At 38.0% G+C, this 12,689-nt stretch overlaps 1 protein-coding gene across 6 annotated transcripts in view, besides 1 other annotated feature; it reads right to left on the reverse strand.

Moving 5' to 3' along the window:
• Nucleotides 1-12,689, reverse strand: part of PRKN (parkin RBR E3 ubiquitin protein ligase) — a 1,380,350-nt gene that overhangs the window by 710,335 nt on the left and 657,326 nt on the right. The window lies entirely within an intron of this gene.
• Nucleotides 5,454-6,653: an enhancer, noted in NCBI's record as "MED14-independent group 3 enhancer chr6:162484237-162485436 (GRCh37/hg19 assembly coordinates)". NCBI's record gives its function as "activates an origin of replication core promoter dependent on BRD2, BRD4, P300/CBP and CDK7 cofactors, and independent of MED14, by STARR-seq in HCT116 cells {active_cell/tissue: HCT116}" and the evidence as "EXISTENCE:reporter gene assay evidence [ECO:0000049][PMID:35650434]".

The raw sequence follows: 12,689 nt of genomic DNA on the forward strand, positions 1-12,689 counted from the left end.
TATATTTTCTAAAATATGACAGGAGCAAAGTTAAACGTGCTTTGTAATGGCATAGATTCACTGGGACATTTGTTTCTATTTTCTGGATAGTCATAACATTCATACTAATAGTGTGAGTAGTGTGGATAAATTAGCATGTCTATTTTATTATATTGAATTCCCATATTCAACAGAGGATTTTAATTATGATTATTAAATATATATGTAATGTACAAATTACATGGCAAATTGCAAATCCTTTGAGGGGAACCCAGAGGGCACATCTTGCCCCTTTGTTTGTTTTAATGTCTGTTTCTCTGTAGGTTGTGATTTGTTCTACCTTTACGGACACTACAAATCAGATTTCTCTCTTTTTTAGACAATTAGGAAAACTTTAGAGTCAAATTTGTGGACCAGCTCTTGCAATTTTACATAAATCATAATACACACTTCGTTTACCAAAATTACCCTTGGCTTCATATTACTTTCCTTTGATCCCTTTCCTCATCTAATTTAATTTTTCCTGGTTTTCATCTGCATGTATCCCTGCAAGGTTGTCACATCATTCTGAAACGAGTCAGGGGATAATTAGGTAATTGTCGGGCCTTGTGATGTAACCTGACTGACAGCTCTAACAGGAGCCGTGCTCCCTGGGATGGTAGGTCATCTCGCCTCCAGGGACAAGGTGATCTCTGGCCAGATGCCTGTGCCAAGCTCTGGCTCTCATACTGTGGCTGGTGGCAATTCCCAGTGAACCACACTGTGCTTGAGGCACCGAAAAGTCCCTGCGTTTAAAAGAAATCCATTTCGCTGTGGTTAACCATTAACTAAATGGGACAACATTGCTTCTCTTCTCTGGAAGTTTTTTCTGACTGACTCATGACACATGCAATGGTCAATAACACACCTACGTGGCAACAGCCAAGAAGGAGCACTAATAGGCCGGGCATGGTGGCTCATGCCTGGAATCCCAGCACTTTGGGTGGCTGAGGAGGATGGATCACCTAAGGTCAGGAGTTCAAGACCACCCTGGCCAACATGGTGAAACCTTGTCTTTAATAAAACACAAAAATTAGCTGGGCATGGTGGCGGGTGCCTGTAATCTCAGCTACTTGGGAGGCTGAGGGAGGAGAATCGCTTGAGCCAGGGAGGCAGAGATTGCAGTGGGCCGAGATCACACCACTGCACTCCAGCCTGGGCGACAGAGTGAGACTCTGCCTCAACAAGAAAAAAAAAAAAAAAAAAAAGAAGTAGCACCAATAATTAAATGCAGGAATTAGGGCCCAGTTATATTTTGCTTCACAGAGTAAGACTTCTTACCTCAAAGTCTAGAATTCAGTGAGACTTTTCTGTGCATATCACAGATGTTTATTTTTTCATATTTAAATTTTTACTGCCCTAATAGCAACTAAAATATTTATGGAACAATTCCCGTAATTGCCACATCAGGTACTATGTTATCTGACAAATTCGTGTTCTACAGAGACATTATAGAAAACTCATTCACACATTCTTCTTGATTTCAAACCATAACACAATGGTGTAAGTAGTAAAACTGAATGGAATTCTTTTGAATCTGGGACTTTAACACAGTAAAATAGATGTTAGTTTATGCAGCTGCTCACACTAATAGTGTGAATGCTATGGCTATCCTGAAAGCAGAAACAACTGTCCAAGTGAATTTATACCCTTACAAAGCAGATTTAACTGTGCTCCTGTCAAATTTTGGAAAACATAAAACTTTAATTGCCTAATCATTGAACACAGTGTTTTAAGAGTTGCATGGCCAAAACAATTATAGTTAATAGTTTTTAAATAGTAGCAAGAAAGGTCTTCAGATTAAAAAGGACTGCAAAAATGCATGGCAGTAGAAGGGAGCTATGGATGATAATACGTCAATTAGAGAAGCAAAACCACTATTTCATCCCTCAAATCTACCGAATTAGAGAAAGATATCTGAATAAAATGTCACATAGTCTAATAGGAAAAATTTGGCTGGTTTTTAGAGAACGTTCTCTTTTTTTTTGCCTAGTAATGACGATAACCAAGAAAAATATATAAATTATTTTAGCAACACTAGCAGGGTGAGGAAACCATGGGCTGCTGGCCAAATCCCACCTTATACAGACTCTGTGCTAAGAAATGTTTTCATGTTTGTTAATAGTTGAAAAGCACAAAAAGAAGAATGTTTCGTGACACATGAAAACTATGAGAAATTTAAAATTCATTGTCCATAAAGTTTTATTGGCATATAGCCACATAAAGCATGGTTGCTTGTATGCTACAATGAGCTGTTGCAACACAGACCTCATGAACCACACAGCCTATCACGTTTACTGTCGGGCCCTTTATAGAAAAAACTTGCCAACCCCTGATCTACAGCAAATTAAATTTTCCAAACTCATACTGAAAAGTACTCTTTTATTTTTAATATTGTGGCAGCACTTTGGCTAACATATAATCGCATATGTTTGTATGAGTAGGTATGTCCTGGGTCTCAAGTGAGAAATTACAATGAAAACCTTAGTGCTGTTGACCTGAGAATTCCGAGAAGACGGTGATAGAGAAGCAGCAATTGAATCCTGGGATTCATCAAATTGTTTGCATCAGTAAGTGGAAAATGACAACTAGAGATGGCATTTGAGGACTGGTCCTGACTAATGTTACTGTCTATAGAAAAGCGTGAAGCAAATATTACCTAAACACGTCTATATGATGCATGTAAATCAGAAATACAGAAAAATGACCCCACAGAGGGAAAGCATTGATAAAATCTGTAACATGTGGGTTTTAAAATTTATTTTCAAAAGTTCTAGAACTCATAATCTGAAAGCCATTTTGGCTATGTCTTTCAATGCCCAGAAAAGTGGAAAATTGAAGTATGTAACTGACTATTTCATATCCAAATATTATTCAGACACAGTCCAGACTGACAAAACAAAATAACTATTTTTCTTGAGTTATCTAAATAAATGCTATAATCTGCTCATCATATGTGAGTATATGCATTGATGCTTAAAATAAATTGCTAATTCTATTTTCCAAAATGTTAATAGAAAACCATGGCATTTACAGTTTTTGAAAAATGTTATTTAATAGTAATTTTACTTAAACTATACTTACCCTATTATCTCATCTTGTCATCGAATATGAAGGATTTCAAATATTCTCTTGAATAATCCACAAACATTTAAGCCACATAATTAAGTGTCAGGGACTAAAATAATTTTGTAAATCATACTAAGGACATAATACAACAACAGCAAAACTATCTTGAAAAAGCTGTACCCAGAAGCTTGAGTCCTCCCTTGATGTTTTTCTATCTGTGTCTGCAACAAAATGATACAAAGAAGGAGCTTTGAAGTTCACAAACCTGTTGTATTTCATTTCTACCAATGACTAGCTATATGTTCCCGAGCTAGTTGCATGGACCCATTCCAAACTTAGTACTCTTCATCTGAAAAGTAAGGAATTAAATACCTACTTCACAGAGTGTGCATGAAGATTAAATGAAACAACACAAATACAAACAACACTGTGCAAAGGCAACACAACAAACGCCTTTACACAGTTGCTGGCACATAGAGAGTTAAAAAAATGGCAACTGTTACAAGTATTATTTCTTATTTCTCAAAATAGAACTGCCTGAAGAGGGTTATTTTTGGTTTAGTAAAAACTGAGCAGTAAGAAGCCCTTTCCAAGGGACCTGGACCCACGGCCCAGTGGGTTTCTGAATTTATCCTTTTTCTCAATTTCCCTATTATCCAGCCCTCCCCAGGATCATGTCACTTTCTACAGCATGCTGTTTATAACTCTTCTAAAGCATGTATCGCCCTCTGTCATATAGTAGACACTGACACTGTTCTGAGCATCCATCTTCCTTCATTTGATTTAAAGATCCTACACTGTCACAAAGCCAAGCACAGTGCCGTGGTTAGAGCAGCAGCATAATAAATGCAATCATTAAATAGTAACCAGGAAAAAGAACGAAAAAAATTCGTTAAACCAAAATATTCATCCACTTACCAAGTATTTATTGTTGCTCTTAAACCCTGAGACTGCAGTTATAAAAAAGGGAGAATAATCGCTTTTCTTGTAGACTTTCTATAGTAGCTACAAAAAAATGGTATTACAAATGAACCAATCACATCCATTAAAATGAGTAAGATTTTTGAAAATGCCCATGTAAAAGACAGGCAAGTTGGAAGACAACTGGAATATACACACTGTTGGTGCAAATGGAAAATAGTATAGTCACTGCTGAAATCTACTAGGCATTCTTTTTTTAAAGTAAACATAAAAGTAACATATGACTCAGTTATTCTACTCTTAGGTAGTCATGTGAGATAAATGAAAATATATCCACACAGAATGTTGCAGGCAAGTGCTCCTAACAATTTTATTCATAGCAAATGTAAACTGGAGGGCACCCACATATCTATGAAATATTTCATCTGACTGGATAGACAAGATGTAGTATGACTATTCAGTGGATGACCACTCAAGAATAAGCAGTGTCCTGTTACCTATAAATGCAACAACATTAACAATTCTCAAAATCAGCCTGAGTGAAAGAAGCCAAACATGGAATATGTGGCATGATTCCATGTATATGAAATGCAGAGGTCGCTTGGGGCTGGGAGCACAGAGTGGGAACAAGCCACATAAACACATAAGGGTTATTTTGGGGGTTATGGGCTGAACTGCATCCCCTCAAAATTTATGTTTAAGTACTAACCCCCAGTTCCTCAGAATGTGAATGCATTTGGAGATAGGTCTTGACAGAGGAAATTAAGTTAAAATGAGGTCATTAGGGTGAGTCCCAATCCAATATGACTGATGTCCTTAAAAGCAGACGAAAGGCCATGTGAAAATATGGGGAGAAGGTGGCCATCTGCAAGCCAAGGACAGGGGCCTTGGAAAACACCAAGCCTGCTGACACACGTTGATCTCGACTTCTAGCTGCCAGAAATGTGAGAAAATACATTTCTATTGTTTACGCTTTCCAGTCTGGGGTATTTTGTCATGGCAGTCCTAGCAGACAAATATAGAGGGTATGGAAATGTTCTTTATCATGACTGTGCTGGTGGCTTTACGTTGTTATGTACTTGTCAGAACTCCTCAAATTGTACCCTTCAAATAGAGAAAGTCTATTTACACAAATTATTCTCAATAAAGTGGGTAAGGAAAACAATGAACTGAGCAATTGACAAGGAAACTCAATAAGAGACAGAGGCTCTCTGTAGCAAATGTTGCTTGAAAAACTGAATATAAATATCTCACTCAATACAGAAAGCAAATGGGAACTTCTTTATAACCTTGGAACAGGTAGAACTTCCTTCTTGTAAGGACACAGAAGGCTCTAATCCCACATAAAGGAATGTATAAATTGAATTTCAATGAACATTAGAGCTCATCAAAAACACTAAAATATGACTATGCAAGCCACAGACTTGGGAAAATATTAGTAATACATATAATTGTAAAATAAGTAATCTCAGAGCTTATAAAGAGCTAATATAAAGGACACATTAATAATACAGACATAAACACACCAGTTAAATATAAGCAAAAACCTTGAACAGGCTATTCACAAAACAAGACGTATAAGTGGCCAATAATTATATAAAACGATGGTCAACATCATTAATAACAGGGAAAATACAAGTTAAAATCACAAGATACAATTTCACTTGATTTCACATTTTAGCCACTATGATAATACTAAATGTCGGTGAGGATAAAGATTAACAAACGCTCTCATATATCATTGGTGGAAATATAAAACAACCACTTTGAAAACGGTTTTGGAATTTCTTTCTTTTTTTTTTTGATACAGAGTTTCACTCGGTCGCTCAGGCTGGAGTGCAGTGGTGCGATCTCCGCTCACTGCAAACTCTGCCTCCCAGGTTCAAGTGATACTCCTGCTTCAGCCTTCCAAGTAGCTAGGATTACAGGCATTTGCCACCACACCCGGCTAATTTTTGAATTTTTAGTAGAGACAGAGTCTCACCATGTTGGCCAGGCTGGTCTGCAACTCCTGACCTCAAAAGATCCGCCTGCCTTGGCCTCCCGTAGTTCCGGGATTACAGGCAAGAGCCGCAGCGCGCAGCCCTGGAATTTCTTATTACGTTAAACATATAGTTAAACTATGACTCAGCACTTTCACTCCAAGGTGTTGGTCCAAGAAAAATGAAAATACACACACACACACAGAGCAACATAGACTCGTACAAGCATCTAACATCACAGCCTTACTCATGTTAACCCAAACCTGGAAACAAGCAAATGTCCTTTGACAGTGACTAGAATAAACCATGGGGTCTCACATAGTGGCAGACTCAGAAATGAAAAGAGAGCTACTGAGTCACACAACCACATGGATGAGTCTCGAAACAAAACACCATATTTACCAAAAGGAGCTGGCCATAGAAAAGTATGTATTATATGATTCCATTTATATGAAATCCAGCAAAAAGAAAGATTAATCTATGGTGATAAAAATCAGAAGAGGTTATCTTTGGAATGGGGAGGTACTGACTAGAAAAAGAGATAAGGGAACTTTCTGGAAATGTTCTACATTTTGGTTGGGGTAGTAGTTACATGAGTGTATGTAACTGTCGAAGCTTTTAGAATTGACACAGTGCATTTTGTAGAGTGTAAATTGTTCTATAATTTAAAATAATAGACTGAATCTCCTATCCCATCCTTCAGTGATTTCCTCTTAGCTTTTGGAAACAATAGTCTGTGATTTCTGTTATAAGATAATCCAAGTCACTGCCAATCAACACAAAAGACTAACCAGTCCTAGGGCTTTGAACTGGTTACTAACCTTCATCATCAGGCTACAAAACTCTTAAAGTCAAGGACTGTGTCCTACATATATCTATGTGCTTTGCTGTGAATAGATAAATGTTTTACCTAAACATAGTGAATACACAAGAATAATTAAGTCAGACTTTAATTTTCTCATCTGTAAAATAATGAAAACTGAAAAATCTGTATTTTCAAAGTTACATTTTCTTTTAAGCAGGGTACTTTCATTACATGAAATTGTCTATAGTAACCAAATACATAAAACAAATAAAGCTGACCCAATGTGGTTGAAGAAGAAGGACGAGTCCCCAGAATTCTCATTAATGGCCTCTTTTCTCTTTGTCCCATGTGATGCCCTTAAGGGCCCTCCCCACAGAAAACAATTTGAAATCCTAAAAGTCTCTTACAATAATACACCATGGGTATGCTCAGAGAAAAGTCCACAGTGGTAAAGAATCTGGCAGAATATGGTTGAATCAAATTGTATTAGGGTTCTTCAGAGGGGCAGAACTAATAGGATCTATGTGTATATGAAAGGGAGTTTATTAGGGAGAATTGGCTCACATGATCACAAGATGAAGTCCAAGGATAGGCCGTGTGCAGGCTGAGGAAGAAAGAAGCCAGTAGTGGCACAGTCCGAGTCCAAAAGCCTCAAAAGTAGGGAAGCCAACAGTGCAGGCTTCAGTCTGTGGCTGAAGACCTGAGAGCCCCTGGCAAACCACTGGTGTAAATCTAAGAGTCCAAAGGCTGAAGAACCTGGAGTCTGATGTCCAAGGGCAGGAGGAATGAAAACATCCAGCATGAAAGAAAGATGGAAGCCAGAAGACTCAGCAAGCCAGTTTATCCCAATTTCTTTGGTTTGCTTTGTTCTAGCCATGGGGGCAGCAGACTGGATGGTGCCTACCCACATTGAGGATGGGTCTTCTTCACCCAGTCCACTGACTCGAATTTCAATATCCTCTGGCAACACCCTCACAGACATGCCTTGAAACAATTCTTTTCTTTTTCTTTTTTTTTTTTGGTCAATTTTTAAAAAAATTATATGTTAAGTTCTAGGGTACACGTGCACAACGTGCAGGTTTGTTACATATGCATACAGGTGACATGTTGGTTTGCTTCCCCCATCAACTCGTCATTTACATCAGGTATTTCTCCTAATGCCATCCCTCCCCCAGCCCTCCACCCCATGGCAGGCCCCAGTATGTGATGTTCCCTGCCCTGTGTCCAAGTCATCTCATTGTTCAATTCCCACCTATGAGTGAGAACACGCGGTGTTTGATTTTCTGTCCTTGTGATATTTTGCTGAGAATGATGGTTTCCAGCTTCGTCCATGTCTCTGCAAAGGACATGAACACATCCTTTTTTATGACTGCATAGAATTCCATGGTGTATATGTGCCACATTTTCTTATTCCAGTCTATCATTGATGGACATTTGGGTTGGTTCCAAGTCTTTGCTATTGTGAATAGTGCTGTAATAAACATACGTGTGCATGTGTCTTGATAGTAGCATGATTTATAATCCTTTGGGTATATACCCAGTAATGGGATTGCTGGGTCAAATGGTGTTTCTAGTTCTAGATCCTTGAGGAATCGCCACACTGTCTTCCACAATGGTTGAACTAATTTACACTCCCACTAACACTGTAAAAGTGTTCCTATTTCTCCACATCCTCTCCAGCATCTGTTGTGCCTGGAAACAATTCTTTACCAGCTATCTAGGCATCCTTCAATCGAATCAAGTCAACACCTAATACTAACCATCACACAAATCCTTAAAAGGCCATCCTTTATTTTCTCTCTCTCTCTTTTAAGGAAACACATATTAGCTGTGGCTAACATATATGTTCATTAGAACACATATATTATGCTCTTTGCTATGGTCTAGATATGTCCCCTAAAATTCATGTGTTGGAAACTGAGTTCCTAATGCAACAGTGTTAGGAGGGGGGCCTAATGGAAAGCGTTTAAGTCACAAGGGCTCCACCTGCATGAATGGATCAATACCCCTAAGAAAGGAGCTTGCAGGAGTGGGTTCTCTTTCTACTGCTCTTCGACCATGTGAGGACACACTGTTCCTCCCTACTGGAGCACATAGAATTCAAGGTGCTATCTTAGAAGCAAAGAGACCAGGCCTTGACCTGCTGGGGCCTTGATCCAGAATTGTGAGAAATAGATTTCTGTTCTTTTTAAGTTACTCAGACCCAGGAATTCTAATATAGCAGCACAAAAAGAACTAAGACATTCTTAAAATACTTAATTGAATCACTGATACAGATCACATGACATTATCCAGGTGAAACAGACATTTGTCTTTATGTTGTGGCAGAAGCTTTCAGTTGTCTCCTCTCTTCTTTTATGGTAACAGAATTTCTGATTTATAGCTGAGCATATGACTCCCTGGAAAAATGACTCTACCTCCCAGCTTCCCTTGCCTGACTGGCCATGTAAGTGATGACCAACGGGATATAACAGAGGTGTCCTGTGGAAACTTCTACTTGTCCTTTTCTTCATCCATTTTTTTTTCTCTCCTGTTTGTAATATACATAGTGCATCTTGAACCACAAGTTCAAGGTTATACAACGTAGAGCAACAATATAGAAAGAGTCTGGGTTCCTGTCATCATGAAGTGCCACAGCAGCCTTGAACCACCTATCTAAACTTTTACATGAGAGAAAAACTGAACTCTCACATTACATAAGTCACTGTTACTTTGAATTTTTAAGATATTCACTGTCAAATCCAATGGTCATTATTATTACAATTAAATTAACTTTGTTTTGATAGAAAAATCAATGGAGCACACAAAACAGTAGCAATATTCTATGATCTAAGAAACCAACAAGAATTTTCTTTTACATACATGAGGATGTTGACATAGGAAGATAAATAAGTCTTTTGGAAGACAAAAGTAAAATATTACTTATAATACATCAGGGAATAAGACCTTATTTATGAGTTCATGAGTTTTTACAATTACAGAAGTTGACCATAAAACCCAAACTTTTAAAAAAGCATTGATCATTTTGATGAAAATCTTTACCAAATGTGTTCTATAGTCCATCCTTATTTCAGCAGATTACACGCGACATGCACATGATGACTTAGCTTTCTAAAAAGAGCAATGGTGTAACGAATATATGCCACTTGCCAGAAGCCATAGTTAATACCATATGTACACCTCATCCCTAGTGACCTATAAACAAAACAAGGTGGGCAGTGCCACAGCCTTTTTTACAGATGGAGAGACTGAGGCTTGGAGATGCTGAGATATGTCCAAGGCTACAAGTTTACAAAGTAACAAAGTCCATTTATCATAAAAGTATTTGTTGTTTTGTTCACTTTTCAGACACAGTTTTAAAAAATACATGTCAAATAAATAAGCATTTTTTATTTACTGTTTTACCATGAACTACAGTGAAATCCTTGCTAACTGTATCTCTTTCCTTCAGAGGCCGATGTCGGACAGATGTCACCGTCATGTCAGGATGGTGGACATTTTCCTATCTGGTGGGTAGGAAATCAGTAACTACATTTACTAATTATGAAAACACCACCAAGTTAAGATTTTGTTACAAGAAATGTGTACGGACATACATTTTTAGAATATATGTCAATATCTTTATACTCCTTTGGCCTCTTTGCTGATAACCTGCTTTTCATTTAGTTATTTCCTGAGTTTTGTAGGTGTTTTTCTTTTAAAGTCTTTATTATCGACAGGTTTTTCCAGGTACATTACTTCATTTATCTCAGAAATCATATGAGACATTATACTTGGCATTTCTTTTCTATTGCTGTGTAACAAATAACCACAATTTTGTTGCTTAAAACAACATGCTTTTATGATCTCACAGTTTCTGTGGGGCAGGCCTGGTGTGACTTCTGCTCAGAGTCCCATGAGGCCCAGTCAAGATGTCGGCTGGGCTGCTCTCTTCCCTGGAGACTCCATTACAGCAAAACTAGCTTCTAAGCTCTCTCAGGCTGTTGGCAGAATTAACTTCCTTGCAGCTGTCATTACAAGGGCCTCGGCTTTCTGCTGCCTGTTGGCTGGAGGCCTCCTGCCGTTCCTTGCCATGTGAGCTTCCTCACCTTGGCAGTTCACTTCATCAAGTCAACAAGGAGAGGGTCTGCTCCAGTCTCCACTGAATCCATCATAAGTAATATCGTCAGGGGAAGTCTTAGATAACATAATTGGCACGGTCAGGGAAATCAAATCACTTTTGCTGTATTTTCTTGGTTAGAGAAAGCAATTTCACATGAGCATGTACAGGAGGTGGTGGGAGGTCACTGGGCCGGGGGGGTGGGGGTCATCTTCATGTCTGTCCATGCCCCGTTTAACAAATTAGGAGAAGGAGCTTTCATAAAATTAAAGTTTCAGAAATGGTAACTCAATATATAACATTAGTTGTCAAGTACTCAGGCTATTTTTCAAAAATATAAACACATGTTTCAGTTTAGGTACGTGAATATTTGAACACTTCCTTGGAGTCCTCCTTTTAAAATTTCAAATAAGTCATTTTATAGCTTGGGAGATGATATGGTTTGGCTGTGTCCCCACCCAAATCTCAACTTGAATTGTATCTCCCAGAATTCCCACGTGTTGTGGGAGGCACCTAGAAGGAGGTAATAGAATCATGGGGGCTGGTCTCTCTCGTGCTATTCTCATGATAGTGAATAAGTCTCATGAAATCTGATGGGTGTATCAGGGGTTTCCACTTTTGCTTCTTCCTCATTTTCTCTTGCCACCACCATGTAAGAAGTGCCTTTCACCTCACGCCATGATTCTGAGGCCTCCCCAGTCATGTGGAACTGTAAGTCCAATTAAACCTCTTTTTGTTCCCAGACTCAGGTATGTCTTTATCAGCAGTGTGAAAATTGACTAATACAGGAGATATTAAGAAATAAATACCAGATGTAACCAGAAACTGAGTTTCTGTTTATTCTGGCATGTTAAACTTTACAAGATTAGAATATGTTACACAAACAGAAACATGTCTTGCTTTAATGAGTGTATATATTCCTTTCTAACTTGAATTTATTCCCTATGATTTCTTAGAGCAAGAACGTATTATAGAAGCAGTTAACTAAAAGGCTCACTACGGTTAATTCTGCAGAAAGAAATAGAAGTTTACAGAAGTTAATTCTGCAGAAAGAAATAGAAAGGATTAATTGTTCCTAAGTAAGCCAAGTTATCTCTACAAATTGTTTAAAACAAATATTAGAAGGAAAACAATAATTAAGAGAAGATCTTAAGAAGACACCTAATCTAGTTCTTATTAATATTTTTCATTTCTGATTTTGATATTATATGAATAATGAAAAATCCCTCATTTGAAAAAACTTTATATGGTATACAGGACGCAAGAGAGGCAAAAATGATTTTTGTAAATTCCAGCCAGTCTCCAAGAGACTATGATCATAATAAAAGCAATGGCAATGGCATCACCTTGCATTAGTATAAAACAGGTTTGTCTACAAATCGCTTTCACATGTCCCAAGCCAACCTTGATTTCCAGTGAAAATCTGTTAATGCTGTGTTCTATAGAGCTCTGAGCCACACATGGATTACTTGGTCATGTGTTGATAATTTGTTCATGTGTAACTGCAGAACTGTTTCCCAACAAAACCCTGGCCCCAAGCCCAAGTATTCACTGGGTTCTCACATGTAACTACTTGGGTATATCTTGATGATTACATCATGCATTTTCATAAGAGTATCCATTTTATCTAACGATTTGTTAATCATCAAAACAAGGATCTTCCCTCATTTTGTAATAGAACAACTGAAGTCCATGCTTTTCTTGGAAAATATAGTCATATTTTAGTAAAAGTGTGATCACAAGGCTGGGCAGAGTTAGCTGGGTAAGTTTGACTCTGCTCTATGTGGGGTCAGCT

The sequence above is a fragment of the Homo sapiens genome, chromosome 6, assembly GCF_000001405.40.
Source record: "Homo sapiens chromosome 6, GRCh38.p14 Primary Assembly".
NCBI lineage: Eukaryota > Metazoa > Chordata > Mammalia > Primates > Hominidae > Homo > Homo sapiens.